Here is a 27291-nt window from a genome sequence, read left to right as displayed (position 1 = left end):
AATTTTTTTAAATGACTGGGATTCTGTTTGAACAGGCTTTTGTGGACCGTCAATGTCAAACTGCTACCAGTGTAGTCAAACTGTATAAAACAAAGCCTACAGCTGAAGTAACCTACAATAGGTAGGCAGGGCTGTTTTTTTTTTGTCCCCCTAAGCTGTTTATTTACTAACATCAAATATTCATCAACAGATCTTCAAACAGTGAATAAACTGGGGGTTTTACATGGTGATGAGGGTGAGACATGGTATTAAAATCAAAGGGAATTTTATTTTTAAAAATTTCACTATGAAAAATTTCAAATATACAGAAACAGAAAAGTAAAAACTATGATAAAGTGAACACTCATATGCCTAGCATATTCAACAATTAACATTTTTATATTTCTGTATTTATATGTATTTTTTTCTGAACTGTTTTAAAATAAAATTATAGACATGACACTTTACCCTCCCCAAATATTTCAACACGAAGACATCTTCCTATATAATCATAATACTGTTATTATCTCTGACAAATAATTTCTAAATATCATCTAAAATCCAGTTCATGTTAAGATTTCTCCAATTATTCCAACGTTGTCTTTTAGAACTAGTTTGTTGAAACCAGGATTCAATTAGGGGCCATGCACTGCAACTGACTGGTTTTCTTTAGTCTCTCTTAGTCTAGAATAATCTTCTTACTTCTAAGCCCTGTTCTTTCCTGATTTTGATCTAAAGAGACCCTCTGATTGTCCTGAGAATGACCGTTTCTCGGGATGTGTCTGATTTTGCTTCTTTTGCTGTCATGTGTCTATACCCTGCTTTCCACTATCCCCTGTACTTCCCAAAAACCGGAAGTTAGGTCAAAAATTTTGGTAAGAATCAGGTTAAACATTTTCAGCAAAAATACAGGTGATGCTGTGCACGTGACAGTGCATTAAGGCCATCTGTCCCACTACTAATGAGCTAAAATTGATCACTGGGTTAAGATGTTTCCCCTTTGACCAAAGCAAGTAATCTGCGGGATATTTTGGTACCAAGTAAATATCCATTCTTTTCACTTATGGCTTTCTGCATTCACTGGGTTTCCTTCCCAAAAGCAATTATTTCATAAGGGGTTACAAAATGGTAATTTGTCTAACTCTATATTTCAAATGAGTATTTTTGTGTTTCAGCATGGTGGCACTTGGGAGAATAAATACTGCCATATAACCAGTTATCACTGTGGTGAAAAAGGCTTTTGAGACTTTGCAAATTACTCCTTAAATGTGGAGGGTGTGGGGGTGAGTAGTGAAGAGGACAGCTTCCTATAGAGATCTACTGCTGTGTATATTGGAGGCTGTAAAACACCCGTCCTACAGCTTGAATTCCAGAGTAATCCACTGGAGAAATATGGGCTTCAAGGGGATACAGAAACAAAGTAAATATTCATGTGTCAATTCAAGTTCATAAGTTTACACTTTACAGTACTAGGTGAATGCCTGGATTATATATATATATATTCTTCTGATGGTCTTCTCTTCTTAGAAAAAGAAACCTTATCAGCTGTTGATTTTATAATTGAACACAGATTATACGACAAGTCTCTGTTACCCTTAGGGTAAAAAGGACCATGTTCTTATAACCAATAAGGTCAGGGGCAAGAACAAATTCCTCAAAGATCTTATTAGCTGGGCATGGCATTATGTGCCTGTTGTCTCAGCTACTTGGGATAGGGAAGAGGAAGGATCACTTAAACACAAGAGTTCGAGGTTATCATGAACCGTGACTGTGCCACTGTACTCTAACCTGGGTGACAGAGTGAGATGCCATCTCTTAAAAAAAAAAAATCTTGACAGATAAATACATACACTAACATCAAGGGGTAATTTAAGTTTTAATTCATGTTTTGGGAATAGCAGTGAAACAAAGTCAGTGGCTGACAAAACAGAGCTGTTAATATTTATATTTCTGGCATGTTCCTGCTCAGTTAATATGCTGGGCACGAGCTTGTGATAGTAACACTGTGCTCCATCTGCCCAGCAAGGGGAGCCTCATTATATGACATCACTGTTTGGCAATGGGCTGTAAGGCACGTTTAAATGCTGAGAAGTACAGTGCTGAGCACCAGATGGACCAAAGCCTCCTTTCAACTCATTAGCAAAGTGGTATCTAGTTCTTTTGGAGGTTTCAATGTCATGATTTCAAAGAATGGGAAGACCTATCAGGAGGTATGTGACCTAAATAAGCTGCTGGAACACAAATATCTCCCCTCTCCCCCTAAAAAATGAATTAACACATCTTTCTGAGTCTGTTAAGAGGGTGTCAGTGAGTACTGCCCTGTTCAAAACTTAAGGCTTATAAAATGAAACAACTTCAGAACAGAATGACGACAAGAAAGAACACGACGGGCTGGGTGCAGTGGCTCATGCCTGTAATCCCAGCACTTTGGGAGGCCGAGGCGGGCAGGTCACGAGGTCAGGAGATCGAGACCATCCTGGCTAACACGGTGAAACCCCGTCTTTACTAAAGATACAAAAAATTAGCCAGGTGTGGTGGCACACACTTGTATTCCCAGCTACTCAGGAGGCTGAGGCAGAAGAATCACTTAAAGCCGGGAGGTGGAGCTTGCAATGAGCCGAGATCGCACCACTGCACTCCAACCTGGACGACAGAGCGAGACTCTGTCTCAAAAAAAAAAGGAAAGAAAGAACACAACATCTTTTCCCAACATCCTGTAGTACTTAAGGCTCAAAGAGAGCTTCTCACAGACCCTTGAACTAGATAATACAGCTCAAATAAATCACACAAAGCCAATGAGAGCATGCCAGGGCAGATGCAAACCTAAGCCAGTCTCAGTAGAATCGTACCCACCCCTGATGAGACTGTGGATTCATCCTAGGGCAGGAGAGCGACCCAGCTGAGATATGACATACTCTCTGTCTCCAAGGCTGACACGAACTCATCCACAACTGCCCAAAACTTCAAAGAGCGTGAGTATCTCTGCTATTATAAGAATTATCACAGCGACACTAAAATTCCTCTCCATAATCACTATGGATGAAGTACTTAAAAAGGTAAAATCACCTAGCCTTCACCCCAGCTTCTAAAGAGGTCAGCATGGCTGTCAGCCCTCAAAAAGATAAAACTAAACCTGAAGCATAGCTGCCAAGACCCTTAAGAAGACAGATGACCCAAACAGATGCAAAGAAATGCAGTGAGATTTTAAAACACACCACACAATACAATCTTAAGAAAAGTGAGAAGGCAGATTATACTCGTTACCATAGCATAGCTCCCTTCCCTATTGTAGGGAGGTCCTGGTCTGATCCTTCTGTGTCCACCATTAAACAGCACTGTCCACTGTCCTCTTCAAGAGTCAGGGAATGAGCCTCAGGCAAAGCAGCTTTCAGGGGCCATCTGAAGCACACATCACTCCTCCCCTTCAAAGAATATAGTCCGCCAGGCACAGTGTCTCACGTCTGAATCCCAGCACTTTTGGAAGTTGAAGTGGGCAGACTGCATGAGTCCAGGAGTCCACGATTAGTAAGATGGTGAGACCCTGTCTCTACAAAGAATTCTTTAAAAAATTAGCCAGGCTTGGGGATGCATGCCTGTAGTCCTAGCTATTTGGAAGGCTGAGGCAGGAGGATCACTGGAGCCCAGGAGTTCAAGCTTGCAGTGAGCTATGATTGTGCCACTGTACTCTAGCCTGGGTAAAAGAGCGAGACCCTGACACTACCAAAATAAATAAATAAATAAATAAATAAATAATAATAATAAAGCAACTCCTTTTTTAGCCAAGGCAACACATATCTTCAGCTGCCACCATCACTTCCCTCTGCCAAGGATCTTGAAGGCATAGGAAGCCATTCCTTTAAGTTTAGGTAGCAAATAAGCTCCACAAACAGGAGAGGACGGTTATGCCTCTGAGGGCAGAGAAAGAAGAGGAGAGGGGAAAAGTTCATGAGTGTGGAAGACGACAGGATCTGTAGCAACGGCAGCTACCGTTAGAGCAGAGCACCCTGCAGGGAGCTCCTGGGTGGCTCCTCTAAACACCCACCTGCACTTCAGTGGTTTCTGTCCTCCACTCAGAGACACCATAAATCCACAGCAGTTGTGAGCAAGTTACAGCTTTCTTCTGTATCTGCTTCTTCCTGCCTCACCAATCTTTTCTCTCAACATTCCCATTACTTTCTCTCCTTTCTCCACTGTACCTGCCCATTCCCCCAATCCCAAGTTCTGTGATCATTTAAACATACAATCATCTCATGTGATTAAAAAAAAATCTGACAACACAAATAGATAATAAAAGCCGTATTTATCACCTTCCAAGATTCAACTAATGGTACTTTATTTGGTCAAAAGGAGAAACTCTTCTTCAAATCCCCAATTTATATCATAACCAATTCAATATCCATGAGGTGAGGATATATGGTCAACTTACCCAGGGGATTGGCACCAATAAATACATTCGCAAAGTTCATCTTCGGCATCTGAGTCAAAGACTGAATATAGTTTCTTGCCTGAAAAAACAAGGGTTTTCAGAATGACTTTGTTCAATAATGTTACTGCTCTCAAAGAAAGAATCTTGGTCCTGCTAAGGAACGAGTGTTAACTGACAAAGTCCACTAACTTCAGTGTTTCTAACTGTCTTTGATAGAACTTCTCCCTTACTGCCATCCTAACTTCCCTAGTTATGATCATCACCTTCTTTATTCCTGCTATCTCTCACAGTTGCATTTCAAGTGAACGAGAATGCTCATCAATCAAATTCTCTTTCATTAGCTTTCTGATCACAGGATGAGAAGTTTAAAAACTGAGGCCAAGATATGTAAGAAGTAGCCCTGAGACAGCCTTCTCAAACAGCTAAATTGGTAGAGGGGTTGGTATTCCCAAAGCAAGTCTTGGACCAGCAGTCTTTTGACAGTGCTGACTTCAGTAGGTGCTCTTAGTACATCAAAGGATATCAATATTAAACCTTGCTAACAAAGTAACGGTGGTAACAAAAAAGTTAATATAAACTTAATATAACAGTCCTACCTCACAGGGTTGGAGTGAAGATTAGAGATAACAAACCTAGTACTTTCTTAACACAGTACTTGGTTCCAAGTGACAGTTCAAGAAACATTATCTGCTATCCCACTATCACCTTCAGAAGCAAAGTCTGCTGTCTATCTTAACCACCTCTTTAAAACTCCTGTTTTAATACAGTCCAACAGTAAAAGTATGTATGTATATTTATGTTTACACATACACACACAAGTTTATAAAAAGTTCTGGTTGCCCAGGCACGGTGACTCACGCCTGTAATCCCAGCACTTTGGGAGGCCAAGGTGGGCAGATCGCTTGAGCCCAGGACTTTGAGACCAGCCTGGGTAACATGGTGAAAACTTGTCTCCAAAAATACAAAAAATTAGCCAGGTGTGGTGACGCATGCCTGTGGTCCCAGCTACTTGGGAGACTGAGGTAACAGGATCGCTTGAGCAGGGAGATGGAGCCCAGGAAGCTTGAGCCCAGGAGGTGGAGGTTCCAGTGAGCTAAGATCGTGCCACTGCACTCCAGCTGGGGTGACAGAGTTAAGATCCTGTCTTAAAAAAAAAAAAATCTGGTTGCTTGGGCAAGTTCACCTTCTTTATTTATTAAAAAAATTTTTTTAGAGACACAGTCTCTGCTCTGTTGCCTAGGCTGGAGGTCACTGGCACAATCACAGCTCACTATGGCCTCTAACTCCTGACTCAAGCAACCCTCCTGCCTCAGCTTCCCAAGTAGCTGGGACTACAGGCATGTGCTATCATGCCCTAATTTTTAAATTTTTTTGTAGAGCTGCAGTATTGCTGTGTTGCCCAGGATGGTCTCAAACTCCTGGGCTCAACTGATCCTCCCATCTCAGCCTTCCAAAGTGCTGAGGTTGCAGGTGCACGCCACCACACCCAGCCTTCCGCTTCTTAATTATTGCATGTGGAGTCAGGAGGAAAGGTCTGCTTTGAAAAGCAATTGAGAATCTTTCTGATTTGAAAAGAAAGTTTTAGGAATTGAATACATAAATGGCTGTAATCCCTTTCTACTTGAACATGTAAATAAAAAGAGGAAGGGAAAACAGGTAAGAGAGAACTATCTCATTCAGAGAACAGTCATCCCTTTAATAAAGATAAATCAAAAGACGACCTGAATATAGCTGAAGTAGAAACAAAGCTGCTGGGAAGGGCCCTCTGTGATGCCAACCTGGTTCCCCAAAATATTAAGGGTATCTTACAAAGAAAGAAGTGCCCCAATCATCTCTGATAATAAAACAAGAGTTAGACTAAGTAGTTAATAATTAATAAAGAAGGTACCTAACTGTACCAAAGTGTTTGTATTTATTCTATATTATTTGTGTATTTTCTTTTAAATATAGTACATATTAGTATTGGATATTTCAGTTTTGTTTTTAAATAAAGAATCCTCTTTTGGTCATTAAAAAAATGGATGAATTGGAAAGCATGCTAATGGACTTCAGTTAACTACCCTTCTGATAAAGGTCACGATAGTAGCACACCCTAGCTACAGGCAGAGCACCTAGAAAGAAACCGCCTCACAAGCACTAAATTCACACAACCAAATATAAAAATAACAATTTTCCATTTACAAGCTTACTAATTATATTCCCAATCTCACAGGACTGGATGACATTTTATCCCAAAAGTCAACATCTTGCAATAGCACATAGGCAGGCCTCAAGGCACATGCAAGCATCCAGTGATGTTAAGAACTGTTGGTTATACGGTGGCAATAAAATGAGAATGTGGCTTCTCAGTGCGACATCCCTGTACAGTCTCTTTGTTCTCACCTCATGGCTTGGCATCCTGTTAATGAGATAAGCGGGGGGTGTTCCTGTCAGACGCATAATCTGCTGAAGCTGGTTAATATCTTAGATGCCTAGTCAAGGGCATTGTTAAACATACAGTGCAAAAAATAATTTTCAACTCAAGTTTTTAAAAAGGTCAAAAAGCCACCCCCAAACAGACAAAAAAACCTACCCTCCATTCCCCCTACCCGAGAGCCCACAGCTGCATGCTACAGTACACTTCTGTGAATGACATGAGTAACTAGGCACGTAGCCAGTGACTGGCCATGCAGATAAGAAAAATTACTTTTCTTTGGTTTTAGCATCATCTTTACTGTTAAATATTTTAGGTTCCCTGGAAACAGACTGCCCCTTGATCCAGGATGCCAGCCATAGAACTGTTTTCAAGTACTGATGGCCAAAACCTGTTTGTGGGAGAAATATAGATGATTCCAAAAATTTTGACTCAACTTTGAACAAAATAAAATATCCAACATATCCATTCAAGGAAGAGACTAAACTTTTGCGGCACAGGTTCTCCAAGGCACCATCCCTCCGAATTAAGACACACGTGGGCATCTGGGTTAATAAGCAATGCCACATTTCAAAGACATTAGTTAGTGGTACATTTAAAATACTTGCCACAAACACAAAATGGTAAATGAAGAAAGAGGAGAAGAGGAGAAGGTTAGAGGCTAATGGCAAAGGCAAAACAGAAGTCACAGGCTGCTGAGAGTGTTAAAGCATGCCACATGATTTCCTCCACAAGTCTCTTCAACTAGCGAACAGACTAACCTCATTTAACAAACAGCTGGAGGGAAGTCTGCAGAATACTCTGCAAGCATCTGATAAGGGCAGAACTATGAGATTTTCTATATGTATAGGCACATATGTAAGCTGTACTACAACTTCTCTCTTTTAACTGTTCCATCAATGTTAATACAACTCACCCTCTTCTAAAATGTCAGAACTGTTTATCATGTTCCTACTAAGAGCAGAAGTGATGAGATTTTAAAAATATTCAATGTAATTCAATAAACCCCTTTTCTAGTCCTGTTCTTGTTAACTACTAATTCCCTCATTCAGGTGAAGTGTCATCTTTAATAAGCACCATGGCCAAGCAATTTTACTTCATGGCTTTCCCAAATAATTTTTCTACTTTAGCTCGTCCTCTGAACTGAACTCCCTAGTGGTCAGATGACTTAGCAGTAATCTGTTTAAGGCTGGCCACAGGGAGGGAGCTAGAGCCATGTGCTCCACGCTGCCTTTTACGCTCCCTAAGCCCAAAGACAGAGGCCAGTAAATTCCAAAAGGGGATAGGAAATACACTTTGATTTGCGGTCCTTTTAAGAAACGTTAACAGATCCATACCAGATGATGGAATTCTTTATTTTGTTAGGAGTACAGATAACAGAATTTAGAGTTACCTTTAACAAATCACATAACAAATGATACTTTTCATGCCAAGGGAAATAACAAAAAGGGGCCACAAAGTAAACCAGCAATAGCAGAATACCAGTTGGGTCTTAAAATGTAAAAATCCTCCACTTCCCCTTTCTTTCTGTGAATGATACCTGGCCTGCACATTTTCTGTCTTTGTCTCCTTTAGTCAAAGAGGTTATTATATCCCCTTTCTGTCAAGAAGTTAGAAAGATTCTATTTCTGGAGGAAAATGTGAATGAGTCAGGTCTTCGCTTTTTTATCTAATTTAATTAATTAGTTTATTTATTTTTAAAGACAAGGTCTTGCTCTGTTGCCCAGGCTGGAGTGCAGTGCATGATCACCACTCCCTGCAGCCTCAAACTCCTGGCCTCGAGTGATCCTCCTGCCTCAGCCTCCCAAAGTGCTGTGATGACAAATGTGAGCCACTGTGCCCAGTCTGCTTTTGCTTTCTTAATATGATTTTCTTGTTCTTTCACTGATTATTATAGATACTGGGACATTAACCAAATGAATTCTCTGTCCTTGGCCTCCATCACAACCCATTTATACCTTTTCCTATGGCTCATTCTAATAGGTTCTAAATCCATTACTGCATTCTCTTACTCGGCATTCAATTTCTTCATAATTATTGCCATCACTACTTCACTACTTTTCAGGAGAATGAAAACAGCTGTTGGCTATTTACTGCACTCCTTCACTAATGTCTTTTTTCTTTTTTTAATTTTTAAAATCTCTGAACAATTTTACTCACCTGGCCTTATTTTTCCATTCTGTTCCCATACATCATGCGCTTTTAAGATAAACAGGTACTTGGGCCGTGTCACGAACATCAAATTAATCTTGTCTACCCCTTAGGATGTTTAAACTACTTTTATCCACTCACCCCAATTATGTAGGAAACAAACCAAAAAAAAAAACCTTTCTTATTCTTATACTCAATATAATATTATTTGAGTTAAGTTCTGTATTCTGGTACTCAATTTCAGTAGAGCTGTTGAAATGTATAATGTGCCTCATTTCACAGAGAGACCTCCATTATTAGGCTGTGCACTCATTGTTTCTTTCTTAAAAATAAGTGATGGATTAATGACAGATAAATACTATTGACTATTTTACCTAGACTTTGGTTTGAATTCCTAATCCAATTCCAAATGACTAATAGCACGTATCTATAGGGCAGATGGTTGGGATGGAAGAGAAGACTAAGAAAGGGCTGCTAGGAGACACTCTCAGGAAGGAAATGAATTTGCTTGGTCTCATTAGCACTATTTATTAATTGAGCTCCTCCCTCTGCCCTTAGGTCCTCTTACTGTAAGACAGTGTTTCTAAGCAAAAACATTAAAAAAAAAGTACTGCTCTTTCTAAGCATCATCTGATATCTTTGATTCACTCTAATTCAGCTTCTACATATCATAAAGGAGAAAAAAATACCTCTTTAGGTTGACATTGTGGTAACACTGACAATGACTTTCAAAATAGTGTGTAATCACATGGGATTATAGTTTGGATCATGTTATCAGAACATCTGGGATCTATACTCAGCTCTGCCACGTGATTCAGTGCATGACATGGAAAAGTCACTGCCCTTCTGGGCTTTTGCTTCTTTATCTTAAATAAGTAAATGAAACAAATTCAGAGTGGAGGTTCAGAAATACACTGGGCTTTGGGATCCTTTCAAGAAATGTACCGGATACATACCAGATGACGGTATTCTTTATTTTGTCAGGAAGATGATGAACGGTTCCAACTCACCTGCTTATGCTTGCCTCAAGCTACCCAGCCATCTTCCCAACTAGGCAAAGGGCCCCTTCAGTCATAAATGTTGGGAGGAGAATCCAGGAAGGCATAACTGGAGCTTGGCTCCATAGCTCTTTTTTTCTTTTGTTCAACTGCCTGGCAGCAGATCGAGGGAAAAAGAAAAGCTGGGCTTTCATGGCTTCTCTCATGCCTCTGGCCCAAGAAAATGACCAAGAGCAGGAAATCATAGCAAAAGTAAGCCAGACTCACATTCCCATGGCTTCTGTCTAAGTCCCTGCTTAGAAGCAAGAAAGCACTAGTTCCAAACTCTGTCTCAGGTTATCTAACTTATAATTACAAGGCAATAGGAGGAAAATTTATAACCACATTCCTGTGTATCTGAGGTATCAGGAGTGAAGCTGTTTCTTCTGAGTGGGGTCTAGGGACTGGGTAGAAAGGTCCCTCTGTTGGGAACAAACATTTTACATAGGATATGTGAGTATCTATTCTAAAACAATAAAAAATAACTTCTGGGAAGGGGCAACAGTGTGCAGACAATGTACATTTTATTCTTTTAGTGATTAAGTTAAACTAAATACATGGTGAAGCTCATGCTCTGAGAACAAACACTAGAAACAGTGAAAAGAGCTCTAGAGCATACGTGAAACTTCTGAGAAAGAAGAAAGTCAGGTCTTGAGGACAGAGACACAAAGTTTACATTAATCTCTTGGAATGAATTAGAATCTCAAATCTCATTGCTTTACTGGGATACTATTGTCTAATGGAGGCTCCCGTGATCTTAGTGTGTACCCAGATAGAGAATAAAACACACTTGTGCATGCAAGCAGGCACACATGCGTGCACGCACACACACACTCACACTGTCTTATACCTCACTCATCCGGGAAGTCAGCACACAAAGGGCATGTGTGCTTACAAACACACCCAGGTCAAAGTACAGATTGGTAGAAGGCAAGTGGCAGAGGCTCCCAACAGGGCAGATAATTACAAAGCATCAACTCACAGACTCTGAGGAGATTTTCTTCAAAAGCTCAGCCCCTGGGGTTCCAACGAGTCTTAAAATGAGCTTCAACTGATCAATATCTAATGGTGGACCATAAAGGAAAATGTTGGGACAAAATAAAAATGAAAAACAAACAATGACAAACAAAACAAAAACAAACAAACAGAACACACCGAGAACAAAAATGAAACACCCCAAACCTAGCCAACACGGTGAATCCCTCTAGGTCAAGGCTCCTGCAGGATGATCACTTCACGTAGGGCATGCTCCTCCTGTACAAAGATTCAAAATGCTACCAAACACATATCCACTTTATATTCATTTTATGCATCTGTCAACAGCATGTATCAGTAAAGTGAGGCAACTTTAGCTGGTTCTTAGCTGCCAAAGACAGCAGGTGAAAACACAAGAGCTTCACTCAGTTTACACTGCCCTCTTCATCTGCCATCACAGTGTCAGTAACCAGTTCAGCAAAGTGCACTGATAATTAGAGGGCCACAGATAAGGAAAAAAGCAGCAGAAGACAGGAGCTAGGGATGTACAAGTCTATTTATGAATATTCTCCCAAGCGTGACCTAAAGAGCTTGTGATATGACAGTGGAAGGCCTGTGAGACCCCAAAGCCTGACCACTGGAGCACACCCTCTGGAAAGGGAAGCCTCGCCTCTCACACTGGCTATAGCAGGCACTATGAGGGAGAGTCGCCAGCAGAGGGCGCTCTCCCATCGCATGTTCCTTTAGGAGCGCCATGAGAACGCAAATACAGGCGGTTTCAACCTTATAAAATGCAAATGAACAATGCTTAACAAACTTCACACATCCCAAAGGCTCTAAATAATAGGCCACAATGCCATAACTTTTATCCTGGTAGCTAACACTTCAATGTATACTCAGAATGTATGTGCATGTGTTAACCAGAAGACAAAAATTTGTTTGTTCTCATTGCTTTTAATCTTACCTAAAAAGGAAGTTAAAAAGAGGGGGAAAAATATTATAAAATAGCTTTTAATATTTCCTCTGAAAATGTGAACAGTTTATCCACGTTTATACTGACTGACATTCCAGGGAGGGAGAAGGGGAGGATGACTGTCTTCTGACCCATCAGGTTTTTCACATGACTAAATCCTCTTGGCTTCAGGTCTCAGCTTCAACTTCACCTCCTAAGGGAGGCCTCCCCTCAACACTCTATATACATAACACCCCACCCCCCAATTCTCTCTCAGCACCATGCTTGATAACATCATAGTGCTTATCACAGCCTAGAATTACTTTATTTGCTTACTGTCTGCCCCCTGTACTGGTCTACAGCTCTACGAGGACAGGGGCCACTCTGCCTCTTCACCATTTATCCCCAGCCTAACATCTGGTACATGACAGGTAGTCAAAATATTTGAGGAAAAGGTAGAGCAGGATGAAAGAAATTTTTGCTTATGGTTATACATATAAAGGCAACATAGCAGCACTTAAAAACAACAGTCTCTATAAGCCACAGGTGCCTACGTTATAGGAATAACTTAATGCAGTAATTTGACATCCTGTCTTTTACTTTCTTTCAGACATGAAATCAGCTTAAATGGAAGAAAATTCTAGGCTGGAGTCACCAAACCCCAGGCTCTGCCTGTTTTATATATAAAGTTTTATTAGAACACAGCCATGCCCATTCATTTATGTACAGTCTATAGGTGTTTCCAATTACAACAAGCACAGTTACCATATGGTTCCCAAGCCTAAAATATTAACTACCTGGCCCTTTCAGAAAAGGTGCGCCAAACCCCACCCTAAACCCAAACAACTTGTGTTCTTTAGCAAGCAAAAACAAACTAGAAACAAGTCCACTCACATTATTTCTAAATTAAGAATAACAGGGAATTTTGTCATCTGCAAATGGCAAAAATCATTGTGTTATAAAGGTTAAGATTTTAATACTGGCTTCTCAGTTCAAGATGTTGACAAGTAAAAAATCTTATAGCATATGTTCATGGGACAGAGTAGGAATGGGGGTGGGATGGATACTGTCTTGCTCTAAAATAATCAGATTAATTATATTACAATAGAAATCAGTAAAAAAAATTCTTGCTCATCTAAAATGACTCAATTCAAAAAATTTAGTTTCCTCACATTAACACTCTTCAGGAATATATTTAACTGGGTAGCCACCACAAGATAAAGTAAATCATATATGGGAAAAATCTTGACTACTTCAAATCTCAAACAAGTGGCTTTACAATATATGCATCAAAAGTAATCTCTAAAATGAAGCTTTTGATATTGGTACTCTTGTTTAAGAGACTTCTTTCTGACTACTTAACAATGAGAGTCAGTTGTTTTTTTTTTTTTTTTTTTTTTTGAGACGGAGTCTCTCGCTCTGTCGCCCAGGCTGGGGTGCAGTGGCGCGATCTCGGCTCACTGCAAGTTCCACCTCCCAGGTTCACGCCATTCTCCTGCCTCAGCCTCCAGAGTAGCTGGGACTACAGGCGCCTGCCACCACACCCGGCTAATTTTTTGTATTTTTAGTAGAGACGGGGTTTCACCATGTTAGCCAGAATGGTCTCAATCTCCTGTCCTCATGATCCGCCTGCCTCGGCCTCCCAAAGGGCTGGGATTACAGGCGTGAGCCACCGTGCCTGGCTGAGAGTCAATTTTTATACTCTCTCTAAGGAAGACAGGCTCTCTGAGCTGTGAATTTCTCAACTACCTGAACTTCACCCCAACCTACCTGAAGAATACGCAATTTCCATTAGTCACAGTGGCTCATTACATCAATGAGCTGAGAAACCCTCTCTCTCCCACCTCTGCTGGCATGAAACAATATCAGGCCTGAAGAATCAAGCCTAGTTTGACTCTGGCTCAAATTATTATTCTTTAATGCACTCAATGCTTCAACTCACATCAGATATTCCAGGCACTTCTAAGCTTCCAAGTACTTATTTATGTACTCATAAACCAGAATACCTCCCCCTTCTCCCGTCCTTCCAAGCCTTTTCTATTCCTATTTACACTTTGAAGTCCTATTCAAACAAGAACTCTGCCATGAAGTCTTCTTGGATTTTTTTCAATAGCTTATCTATAACTCTATTCTAGTGTATTTATCACTCCATCTTATTTTATAATCAGAGACAGTTGTTCAAGTAACTCTTGTAACTCTCTTTCCACTGAGTCTGATCATTCTGGTTTTAAGGACAGGTACCATCCTGTCCCCAGCACCTTCCACAGAGCAGCTTGATAAATACTAGTTGACTTGAAAAGATGAGCCATGGCACATCCTTTCATCACCTCGGGAGGTGCCGATGTCTTGAGTCGTGACACCGGCGTATGCTGACACTGCTGCCTCCAGTAGTTCTTTTGTCCTCTTCCCTTTGTCACCCCTACACTTTGGAGGTGAACTTCTCTCCTGAGGGCTGTAAAGACTAGTTTGAAAAGGGAGAGCCAAGAACCAACTGAATTGTCTCAGAATGGAAACACTATATTATTTCAGAGGAGTTAATTTCAGAAGGAAAATGGGTCAAACTTGAAAAAACAACATACATGGCTCCTATTGGTAAAACTGGAACTTGGGACTCAGTGAAACATACAACCAGGAAAGAACAGACTGGTGATGATGTAGCGGTCATCCCTGTGCTGCAGAGAACGCTTCACTACGAGTGTATCGTTCTGGTGAAACAGTCCTGACCACCAATGGGTGGCTACTGCATAGAGTTCCCTGCAGGGAACTCATAGAAGATGGTGAAACCCCAGGAGCAGCTGCTCTTTGGGAGCTTGAGGAAGAAACTGGCTACAAAGGGGACGCTGCTGAATGTTCTCCAGTGGTCTATATGGACCCAGGTTTGTCAAACTGTACCACACACATCGTGACAGTAATCATTAACGGAGATGACGCAGAAAATGTAAGGCCCAAGCCAAAGCCAGGGGATGGAGAATTTGTGGAAGTCATTTCGTTACCCAAGAATGACCTGCTGCAGGGACTCGATGCTCTCGTAGCTGAAAAACATCTTACAGTGGATGCCAAAGTCTATTCCCATGCTCTAGCACTGAAACATGCAAATGTGAAGCCATCTGAAGTGCCCGTCCTGAAATTTTAAGGCCAAAGACGACACTGGCCATTTTTGTAAATGAGACTACCAGGCCTTCTTCACAAAGGCTTTGTATTCAACTTAGTTTAATGTAGATTTGAATTAGCTTTTTCGTAAAATAAAAGCAGCAAAAAATGAAAAAAAAAAAAAAAAGAAAAGAAAAGATGAGCCATATTATGCTTTTCAACTCAGCTTTACCCCACTGCCTTGCCCTCAAAACACAGAATGACCATACTCCATGGAAAAACACACAACATAAAATAAAAATCTTAGTAACTAAAAGCATTTGCATGAAGGAAGTTAAAACATGCAAACCTCAGAAGAAATCACCATGGGTTCTTCAAAAGCTGGCAAATCCACTGAAATACAGGCCAGTCTTCCAACAGTACCAGCTACTATAAGGCCACTATGATTTGTCCAGGCAGTTAAGACCAGAAGGAGCGTCACGTAGCCACATTAGCGGAGTAAAGCAAAACTCACCACATCATGACAATCAGTTATTTCCACAGTGAGCCATCCTTTGTAATAGGTTTAGCCCTGTTTCTCTTAGGTAGAAAATATTTTTACTATTAGTTTAAAATGTGTTTTAATTGTAATGATCACAACGTCAAAATTTAAATCATAAATCTCCTGAATCTTTCTAAAACAAATGAAGAAAAGAACAACTTAAGCCTAAGATTACTCTTTAGACGAAGTCATCTTTAACAGAAGCAAGTCAGTCAGAATGAACAGGTAAAGAAAAAAAAAAACAAAAAAACTAAGCATAACAGGATATTTCTAGGGAAAGTAAAAGAGGGATATTCTAGTCAGTTCTAAGTGCTCCAGGCACTCCTAAAAAACCTCCACAGGCCAGAAAGTTGAAGATAAATAAAAGGACCAATTGCAGGACCTACCTGCCATGAGCAGTAATTTTCAAAGACATAAATCCACATAGGGGTGAAGTGGAGCACTAACCTTTGGGAAGGTAGGAAATCTTCCTGGTGACAGACAGGATAGACTAGAATAAGACTTAGCCTAGCTCCTTATCTTCCAAGTTGTCAAAATAGTCATTTTCACTGTAACACAAAGAAAATTTCTTAAGGGACCCTTGGTTTATGGACAAATCTGAGGATTCTACCTTTTCCTGAGAAAATGTATTTTCAAGTTAGAGAGGAAAGGGCAAATAACCTAATAAAATATTTTTCTTCTTCAGCATTTATTGGACACTTGCTTTTGGTGTCTAAAGTGAAACTGCTTTTTAAAAATGAGAGAACATCCAGGCTGGCCAACATGGCAAAATCCTGTCTCTACTAAAAATACAAAAATTAGCCGGGCGTGATGACGTGCACCTGTAATCCCAGCTACTCGGGAGGCTGAGGCAGGGAGAATCGCTTGAACACGGGAGGTGGAGGTTGCAGTGAGCAGAGATTGCGCCATTGCACTCCAGCCTGGGCGACAGAGCGAGACTCTGTCTCCAAAAAAAAAAAAAAAGAGAGAGAGGGAGAATATTTGGCAGGGTGCAGTGGCCACACCTGTAATCCCAACATTTTGGTAGGCCAAGGCGGGCAGATCACTTGAGGTCTGGAGTTCTAGACCAGCCTCAGGAGGTGGAGGTTGCAGTGAGCCGAGATTGCGCCACTGCATTCCAGCCTAGGCAACAGAGTGAGACTCCATCTCAAAAAAAAAAAGAAAGAGTATTTGAAACCAATGACTGAAAGTGATGGGCAGATGTGAGAGAAGGGTCTCCAGAAGCTTTAGCTCTATTGCCAGTGTTTTAACTCACAAGCAGGACAGTATGAACAGAGGTGTTTATTATTCTTTGTCTAGCAGTATGTCTGAAATATTTCAAAACATGTTTGCAAAAGAAGAAATAAAAAAAAATATATAAGAAGCAAATTTAATACACTAGGAAAACTCCCATAGACCAGGGCAGTAACTGATGGCAAGTGGATTTTAACTCAGCTCCATTAACCCATTATGTCTTAAGAGCACCATTTCTGTTAAAATTAAAGAAGGTTTTACACATAAGGAAATTCACTTGATTATGGAGAAAAGGAAAACAACAGCAAGCCAAGGCTGTGATCTCTGGTAGAAAAACGGTATTTGATGCATAACAGGGCTATAAAACTTTCTCTCTTCCTTAAGCTGCAGAGTGTTAAGCGTTGGTAACAGAATTTTCAAAGTGGCTTATTCATTTCAAGATCTATGGTATTTGAAATAAGTTAGTACTGTACCTGAAGAGACATTCTGTATCCTCCCTCCTTTCTAGTACAAAGTTCTGTCAGCTGTGTCCACTTGATATCCCTAGTCAACTAGGCTTTTAAGAAAGGGCTTCATTCTTTAAAAAATAATAATGCTATCATTAGGCCAGATGGAAGGGTTCTGCAAAGTCACAAACAAGAATAATTTCTAATCTGATAACACATTATTGGCTTTAAGACAAAAATGAGTATTTCTTATATTTTTTTAAAATTAAATTAAAGTTCTGAGATACAAGTGCAGGATGTGCAGGTTTGTTACATAGGTAAATATGTGCCATCGTGGTTTGCTCCACCTATCAATCCATCACCTAGGTGTTAAGCCCCGCATGCCTTAGCTATTTATCCTGATGCGTTCCCTCCGCCTGACCCCCACCCCACCAACAGGCCCCAGCGTGTGTTGTTCTCCTCCATGTGTCCATGTGTTCTCATTGTTCAGCTCCCACTTGTGAGAACATGTGGTGTTTGGCTTTCTGAGGAAAATGGCTTCAAGCTCCATCAGTGTCCCCGCAAAGGGCACAATCTCATTCATTTTTATGGGTGTATAGTATTCCATGGTGTATATGTACCATGTTTTTTTATCCAGTCCATCACTGATGGGCATTTGGGTTGATTCCATGTCTTTGCTATTCTGAATACTGCTGCAATCAACATACACATGCATGTATCTTTGTAACAGAATGATTTATATTCCTTTGGGTATATACCCAGTAATGGGATTGCTGGGTCAAATGTTATTTCTGGTTCTAGGTCTTTGAGGATTTCACCAGTCTTCCACAATGGTTGAACTAATTTACATTCCTACCAACGGTGTAAAAGTGTTCATATTTCTCCATAGCCTCACCAGCATCTGTTGTTTCTTGACTTTTTAATAATCACCATTCTGACTAGCATGAGACAGTATCTCATTGTGGTTTTCATTTGCATTTCTCTAATGGTCAGTGACACTGAGCTTTTTTTCATGTTTGTTGGCTGTATAAATGTCTTCTTTTGAGAAGTGTTTGTTCATGTCCTTTGCCAATATTTTTTTTTTTTTTTTGAGACGGAGTCTCGCTCTGTCGCCCAGGCTGGAGTGCAGTGGTGTGATCTCGGCTCACTGCCAGCTCCGCCTCCTGGGTTCACGTCATTCTCCTGCCCCAGCCTCCTGAGTAGCTGGGACTACAGGCGCACACCACCATGCCTGGCTAATTTTTTGCATTTTTAGTAGAGATGGGGTTTCGCCAAATTAGTCAGGATGATCTCGATCTCCTGACCTCGTGATCCACCTGCCTCAGCCTCCCAAAGTGCTGGGATTACAGGCATGAGTCACTGTGCCTGGCCCTTTGCCAACTTTTTAATGGGTTTTTTCCTTGTAAATTTGTTTAAATTCCTTGTAGATTCTGGATATTAGACTTTTGTCAGATGGATAGATTGCAAAAACTGTCTCCCATTCTGTAGGTTGTCTGTTCACTCTGACGATAGTTTCTTTTGCTGTGCAGAAGCCCATTTGTCAGTTTCTGCTTTTGTTGCCATTGCTTTTGATGTTTTCATCATGAAATTTTTGCCCATGTCTATGTCCTTAATGATATTGCCTAGATTTTCTTCTAGGGTTTTTATCGTTTTGGGTTCTACATTTAAGTCTTTAATCCATCTTGAGTTAATTTTTGTATAAGGTGTAAGGAAGGGGTCCAGTTTCAATTTTCTGCACATGGCTAGCCAGTTCTCCCAGCACCATTTATTAAATAGGGAATCCTTTCCCCATTGCTCGTTTTGTCAGGTTTGTTGAAGATCAGATGGTTGTAGATGTGCAGTTTTATTTCTGAGATCTCTATTCTGTTCCATTGGTCTGTTTTTGTACTAGTACCATGCTGTTTTGATTACTGTAGCCTCGTAGTATAGTTTGAAGTCAGGTAGTGTGATGCCTCCAGGTTTGTTCTTTTTGCTTAGAATTGTTTGGGCTATATGGACTCTTTTTTGGTTCCATATGAATTTTAAAGTTTTTTTCTAATTCTGTGAAGAATGTCAACAGTAGTTTAATGGGAATAGCATTAAATTTATAAATTACTTTGGGCAATATGGCCATTTTCATGATATTGATTCTTCCTATCCATGAGCACAGAATGTTTTTCCATTTGTTTGTGTCCTCTCTGATTTCCTTCAGCAGTGGTTTGTAGTTCTCCTTGAAGAGGTCCTTCACTTCCCTTGTTATTAATAGCTATAGTTCTGGGTATTTTATTCTCTTTTAGCAGTTGTGAATAAGAGTTCATTCATGATTTGGCTCTCTGCTTGCCTACTGTTGGTGTATAGGAATAGTTGTGATTTTTGCACTTTGATTTTGTATCCCGAGACTTTGCTGAAGTTGCTTATCAGCTTAAGAAGCTTTTGGGCTGAGACAACAAGGTTTTCTAGATATAGGATCATGTCACCTGCAAACAGAGTTTTACTTCCTCTCTTCCTATTTGAATACCCTTTCTTTCTTTCTTTTGCCTGATTGCCCTGGCCAGAATTTCCAATACTATGTTGAATAGGAGTAGGGAAAGAGGGCATCCTTGTGCCAGTTTTGAAGGGGAATACTTCCAGCTTTTGCCTATTCAGTAAGATACTGGCTGTGGGTTTGTCTTACATGGCTTATTTTGAGGTATGTTCCATCAACACCTAGTTTACTGAGAGTTTTTAACATGAAGGGATGTTGAATTTTATTAAAGGCCTTTTCTGCATCCATTGAGATAATCATGTGGTTTTTGCCTTTAGTTCTGTTTATGTGATCAATTATGTTTATTGATTTGCATATGTTAAAACAGCCTTGCATCCCAGGGATGAAGCTGACTTGACCGTGGTGGATGGATAAGCTTTTGACATGCTGCTGGATTTGGTTTGCCAGTATTTTACTGAGGATTTTTGCATCGATGTTCATCAGGGATATTGGCCTTAAGTTTTCTTTTTCTGTTGTATTTCTGGCAGGCTTTGGTATTGGGATAATACTGGCCTCATAAAATGAGTTATAGGGGAGTCCCTCCTTTTGTATGTTTGGAATAGTTTCAGAAGAAATGGTACCAGCTCTTCTTTGTACCTCTGGTAGAATTTGGCTGTAATCTGTCTGGTCCTGGGCTTTTCTTGCTTGGTAGGCTATTTATTACTGCCTCAATTTGAGAACTTGTTATTGGTAGATTCAACGTTTTCCTGGTTCAGTCTTGGGAGGTCATATGTGTCCAGGAATTCATCCATTTCTTCTAGATTTTCTAGTTTATTTGCATAGAGGTGTTTATAGTATTCTCTGATAGTTGTTCATATTTCTGCAGGGTCAGTGGTGATACCCCCTTTATCATTTTTATTGTGTCTATTTGATTCTTCTTTCTTCATTACTCTAGCTAGGAGTCTATTTTATTTTATTTTATGTTTTTCAAAATACCAGATCTTGGGAGTCACTGATATTTTTGGAAGGGTTTTTCCTGTCTCTATCTCCTTCAGTTCCACTCTGATCTTGGTTATTTCTTGTCCTCTGCTAGCTTTAGGGTTTGTTTGGTCTTGGTTCCCTAGTTCTTTTAGTTGTGATGTTAGGGTGTCAATTTGAGATCTTTCTAGCTTTTTGATGTGGGCATTTAGTGCTATAAACTTCCCTCTTAACACTGCTTTAGCTGTGTCCCAGAGATTCTGGTATGTTCTCTTTGTTCTCATTGGTTTCAAAGAACTTCTGATTTCCGCCTTAATTTCATTATTTATCCAGGAGTCATTCAGGAGCAGGTTGTCCAATTTCCACGTAATTGTGTGGTTTTGAGTGAGTTTCTTAATCTTAGTTCTAATTTGATTGTGCTGTGGTGTGAGAGGCTGTGTGTTATATTTTCAGTTCTTTTGCAGTTACTGAGGAGTGTTTTACTTCCAATTATGTGATCAATTTTAGCCTAAGTGCGATGTGCTGCTAAGAAGAATGTATATTCTGTTGTTTCTGTATAGAGAGTTCTGTAGCTATCTATCAGGTCCAGAGCTGAGTTCAAGTCCTGAATATCCTTGTTAATTTTCTGCTTGATGATCTGTCTAATATTGACAGTGGGGTATTAAAGTCTCACACTATTATTGTATGGGAGTCTAAGTCTCTGTGTAGGTCTCTAAGAACTTGGTTTATAAATCTGGGTGCTCCTGTATTAGGTGCATATATATTTAGGATAGTTAGCTTTTCTTGTTGAATTGAGCCCTTTACCACTATGTAATGCCCTTGTCTTTTTTGATATTTGCTGGTTCAAAGTCTGTTTTGTCAGAAAATAGGATTGCAACCCCTGCTTTTTTCTGCTTTCCATTTGCTTGGTAAATTTTCCTCCATCCCTTTATTCTGAGCCTTTGTATGTCTTTGCATGTTAGATGGGTCTCTTGAATACAACAGCATACTGATGGGTCGTGATTCTTTATCCAGCTTGCCGTTCTGTGTTTTTTAATTGGGGCATTTAGCCCACTTACATTTAAGGTTAATATTTTTTATGTGTGAATTTGATCCTATCATCATGATGCTAGCTGGTTATTTTGCAGACTTGTTGAGGTAACTGCTTCATAGTGTTACTGGTAAAAGAAAACAGTGTGTTTCTGTAGTGGCCAGTAAGTTTTTCCTTTCCATATTTAGTGCTTCCTTCAGGAGCTCTTGCAAGACAGGCCTGGTGGTGACGAATTCCCTCAGCATTTGCTTGTCTAAAAAGGATTTTATTTCTTCTTTGACTATGAAGCTTAGTTTGGCCAGATATGAAACTTTGGGTTGGAAATTCTTTAAGAATGTTGAATATTGGCCCCGAATCTCTTCTGGCTTGTAGGGTTTTTGCTGAGGTCCACTCTTAGCCTGATGGGCTTCCCTTTGTAGGTGACCTAGCCTTTCTCTCTGGCTGCCCTTAGTATTTTTTCCTTCATTTCAACCTTGGAGAATCTGATGATTATGTATCTTGGGGTTGATCTTCTCATGGGGTAGCTTACTGGGGTTCTCTAGGGATTTCCTGATTTGAATGCTGGCCTGTCTTGCTAGGTTGGGGAAGTTCTCCTGGCTGATATCCTGAAGTGTGTTTTCCAACTTGTTTCCATTCTCCCCAATTCTTTTAGGTACCCCTATCATTCGCAGGTTCAGTCTTTTTAAATAATCCCATAGTTCTCAAAAGTTTTGTTCATTTCCTTTCATTCTTCTCTTATCTTGTCAGCAAGATAGTCTTCAAGCTCTGAAATTCTTTCCTCCACTTGGTCTATTTGGCTATTGATACTTGTGGTTGCATTATGAAGTTCTCATGTTGTGTTTTTCAGCTCCATCATTTATGTTCCTTTCTAAACTGGTTATTCTGGTTAACAGCTCCTGTAATGTTTTATCATGGTTCTTAGATTCTTTGCATTGGGTTAGAACATGCTCCTTTAGCTCAGTGAAATTCATTATTATCCACCTTCGGAAGTCTACTTCTGTCAATTCATCCATCTCAGCCTCAGCCCACATCTATGCCCTTGCCAGAGAGGTGCTGTGATCATTTGGAGGAAAAGAAGCACTCTGGCTTTTTGAGTTTTCAGCGTTTTTTCATTGATTCTTTCTCATCTTCATGACTTTACCTAGCTTTGAACTTTGAGGCTGCTAACCTTTGGAGGGGTTTTGGTGGGGACCTTTTTGTTGATGTTGTTGTTGCTTTCCATTTGTTTTGCTTTTAACAGTCAGGCCCCTCTTCCATAGGGCTGCTGCAGTTTGCTGGGGGTCCACTCCAGACTCTTTGCCTGGGTCCCTCCTGTACCTGGAGGTGTCACCAGTGGAGACTGCAGAACAGCAAAGATGGCTGCCTGTTCCTTCCTCTGGGAGCTCCGTCCCAGAGGGGCACCAACCTGATGCCAGTGGGAATGCTCTTGCATAAGGTGTCTGGCGACCCCTGTTGGAGGGGTCTCATCCAGTCAAGAGGCACAGGCCCACCTAACGAAGCACTCTGGCTGCCCCTTGGTGGAGGGGGTGTGCTGCACTGGGGGAAATCTCACTCATCCAGACTGCCTGGATTCCTCAGAGCCAGCAAGGGGAAAGACTAACTCTGCTGATCTGTGGAGACTGTGGCCACCCCTCCCACCAGGGGCTCCATCCCAGGGAGATTGGAATTCTGTCTGTAAACCCCTGGCTGGAGTTGCTGAAATTCCCGCAGAGAGGCCCTGCCCCGTGTAGGGGGATGAGTCAGAGTTCAGCCTAAAGAGTCAGTCTGGCCATGATGTGCCACCACCACTGTAGGGTCTGCACTGTAGGGAATTCCTTCTGGGTCCCAACCGCCCAGTCTCTCCAGCACCAGCAGGGGAAAACAGCAGACTGGAGCTGCAGTGATGACAGCAACCCCTCCCCCAAGGAACTCAGTAGTCTTATGTAGTCTCCAGCCAAAGGGCTACCAAGAACCTACACAGCTCTGTGCTTGGGACCCAAGGCCCTGGTGGCATGTGCTCATGAGGGGGATCTCCTGAATCACAGGTTGCACAGATCCTTGGAAAAAGCATGATTTCCTGGACAGGGTAGAACAATCACTCACCACCTCCCTTGGCTTGGGGTGGGAGCTCCCCTTGCCCTTTGCAGCTCCCAGGTGGGCTGTCGCTCCACCCTGCTTTTCCTCACTCTCCATGGGTCATGCCAACCACCTAGTCAGTCCCATTGAGAGAAGGTGAATACCTCAGTTGCCGGTGCAGGATTCACTCACCGTTTTCGTTCTTCTTGTTGGAAGCCTCTGATTGCAGCTATTTCTAGTTGTCCATCTTGTCCCCTCCCCAGTATTTCTTATATCTTTAAAGGAAATCCAGGAATTACTAACAACCAGTACCAAAATAATCTTTCAAGAAGGAGACTAATTACAAAACCCAAGAAAAAGGTAGAACAGGAAGATAACTTGAAGGGATCTAAAAATGCATAAACCAATACCACTAGCCATGTGTAATTAAGTTTCAATGTAATCTAAATAAAATTTTAATGGCATTTAAAATTCAGATTAAAATACTCAGAAAACTGTGAACAGAAGGTGATAGGGTTTGGATGTTTTGTCCCCTCCAAGTATGTTGAAATGTGATCCCCAATGTTGGAGGTGGGGCCTGATTGAAGGTGTTAGGGTCTTGGATCCCTCATGAATGGCTTGGTTCCCTCCCCACATTAATGAGTGAGTTCTCGCTCTATCAGTTCATGCAAATGCTGGTTGTTTAAAAGAGTCTGGCATCTCTCTTGCTCCCTCCTTTGACATGTGACATGCCTGTTCCCCCTACCACCATAAGTGAAAGCTTCCTGAGGTCCTGACCAGAAACAGATGCTGGCACAATGCTTCTTTTACAGCTATGCAACTGTGAGCCAAATAAACCTCTTTTCTTGATAAATTACCTAGTTTCAGGTATTCCTTCATAGCAATGTGAAATGGACTACCAAAGAAGAGAACTTCCCCAACATGATAAAGGGCATTTATGAAAAACCAACAGCTAACATCATACTCAATGGGAAGAGACTGAAAGCTTTCCCCCTAAGACAGGAACAAGACAAGGATGCCTACTTTCACTGTTGCTATTCAGCATTGTAGCAGAAGTTCTAGACAGAGCCATTACATTAGACAAGAGAAAGAATTAAAAGCATCTAAATTGGAAAGGAAGAAATAAAACTATCTCTGTTTGCAGATGACATAACCCTATACATAGAAAATCACAAAGAATCTAGAAGAAAGCTGCTAGAGCTAATAAATAAATTGAGCAAATTTGCAGGGTGTAAGATCAACAATCAAAAATTAATTTGGTTTCTATATATCAACAATGAACACACCAAAGAATTTCCATCTATAATCGCAGCAAAAATAATAAAATACATAGGAAAAAATTTAACCAAGGTAAAATACTTTACAACTGAAAACTATAAAACACTGCTGAAAAAAAAATAAAGACTTAAATAAATGGAAAGAGATCCTTTGTTCATGAACAGGATGACTTAATAGTGGTTAAGATGTCAATATCACTTAAAGTGATCTAAAAATCTGACACAATCCCTATCAAAATTCTAAAGCCTTTTTTTTGCAGAAATAGAAATGCCAATTGTTAAATTCATATGAAATTACAAGGGACCCAGAATAGTCAAAGCAATCTTGAAAAAGAAGAACAAAGCTGGAAGACTCACACTTCCTGATTTCAAAGCTTACTATAAAGCTACAGTGATCAAAACAGTGTGGTATTGCCATAAGGATAGATATATAAACCAATAGAATAGAACTGAGAGTCCAGAATTAAACCCACACGTGTATTGCTAATTATATATACCAAATTTCTAAGAAACAGGTAAAAGGTGAAAGAAACAAAAAACAAAGGAGAAATCCTAGGGTATCATGTTGATTCGATGGGGGAAGTAATAGTCTCTTTATGGTGCTAGAATAACTGGACTTCCAGATGCAAAAGAATGAAGTTGGGCCCCTACCTCACATCATCTATAAAAATTAATTCAAAATGGATCAAAGACCTAAGTATAAGAGCTAAACCCTATTATATTCCTAGTAGTTACAAAACTCTTAGTAGAAAACATAGGGGTAAATTATTCATGACCTTGAATTTGGCAATACAGTCTAAAATATGACATCAAAAAAGCATGAGCAAGGACAGAAAAAAAATAAATTGGAACTTAATCAAAATTAAAAATGTTTTATGTATCAAAGGACATTATCAAGAAAGTGAAAAGACAACCCACAAAATAGGTGAAAATACTTGCAAATCATGTATCTGATAAGGGTCTAAGATATATAAAGAACCACCACTGAACAACAAAAACACAAACAACCTAATTAAGAATAGGCAAGACTTGAATAGACATTTCTCCAAAGAAGACATACAAATGGCCAATAAGCAGATGAAAAGATGCTCAAAATCATTAGTCATGAGAGAAATGCAAATCAAAACCACAGTGAGATACCACTTTGTAACTACTTGGGTGACTATTAAAAAAAAAAAAAGAACAAGTTTGGAGATACAGGAATCCTCATGCATTGCTGGTGGGCATGTAAAATGGTGCAGACACTATGGAAAAGAGTTTGGTGGCTCTTCAGAAAGTTAAACATAGAGTTACCATATGATGCAACAATTCCACTCCTAGGTACATAACCAAAAGAATCAAAAGCAGGGACTCAAACAGATGCTTGTATGACAATGTTCACTGCAGCATTATTCACAATAGCCAAAGGTAAAAACAACTCAACTGTCTACTAACAGATGAACAGGTCAACAAAATGTGGGATATATTAAATACTTACAATGGAATAGTATTCTGATACATGCTACATCATGGAAGAACCATGAAAACATTATACTAAGTGAAATAATCCAGAAACAAAAGGACAAATACAGTATAATATGATTCTACTTCTATGAAATTTCTAGAATAAGCAAATCCACAGAGACAGAAAGAACAGAGGTTACCAGAGGGGAGAATGGGAAGTTACTGTTTCACGGGCTGAGTGTTTCCATCTGCGGTGATGAAAAAATTCTGGAAATAGGTAGTAGTAGTGATTGTACATCATGAATGTAATTAATGCCGCTGAATTGTAAACTTAAAATGGTTAAAATGGGGCCGGGTGCAGTGGCTCGCGCCTGTAATCTAGCAATTTGGGAGGCTAAGGTGGGCGGATCACTTGAGGCCAGGAGTTTGAGACCAGCCTGGCTAACATGGTGAAACCCTGTCTCTACTAAAAATACAAAAATTACATGGTGGTACACACCTATAATCCCAGCTACTTGGGAGGCTGAGGCAGGAGAATCGCTTGAGCCCGGGAGGCGGAGGTTGTAGTGAGCCAAGATCATGCCACTGCACTCCAGCGTGGGCAACAAAGCAAGACTGTCTCAAAAAAAAAAAGGTTAAAATGGTAAATTTTATGTTAAATACATTTAACCACAAAAATATTTTCAATTCAATTTCCAAGTTAAACTAGCTACATTTCTTTTTTTTCTTCTCCACAACGTTACTGCTCACCACTAGCTGCATTTCAGTTGCTTAATAATTAGCCACAGGCAGCTGGTGCCTATAACCACCACATTGGATAGC

General features: G+C 40.3%; 1 protein-coding gene and 1 pseudogene across 18 annotated transcripts in view; one reads left to right on the top strand and one right to left on the bottom strand.

Moving 5' to 3' along the window:
* The window catches only part of MAPK14 (mitogen-activated protein kinase 14), a 96407-nt gene that overhangs the window by 17160 nt on the left and 51956 nt on the right, over positions 1-27291 (bottom strand). For 7 of the 18 annotated variants that reach the window (XM_017010299.3, XM_047418233.1, XM_047418235.1 and 4 more), the window contains exons 9-10: positions 10989-11068; positions 4406-4484 (exon numbers count right to left, since the gene is read on the bottom strand). In XM_017010299.3, the coding sequence (XP_016865788.1) occupies positions 4406-4484; positions 10989-11068 (159 nt within the window). Of the gene's footprint in view, positions 1-4290; positions 4485-6781; positions 6868-10987; positions 11069-11188; positions 11261-16011; positions 16113-17270; positions 24025-27291 lie in introns of those variants that run through there. The other 11 variants (XM_017010300.3, XM_047418234.1, XM_047418232.1 and 8 more) reach the window with 8 other exon arrangements.
* Positions 14494-15210, top strand: NUDT5P1 (NUDT5 pseudogene 1; annotated as a pseudogene).

This window comes from Homo sapiens, chromosome 6, assembly GCF_000001405.40.
Source record: "Homo sapiens chromosome 6, GRCh38.p14 Primary Assembly".
Classification (NCBI taxonomy): domain Eukaryota; kingdom Metazoa; phylum Chordata; class Mammalia; order Primates; family Hominidae; genus Homo; species Homo sapiens.
The sequence above is the reverse complement of the archived record's forward strand: the minus strand, read 5'-3'. Positions and strand labels throughout refer to the sequence as shown.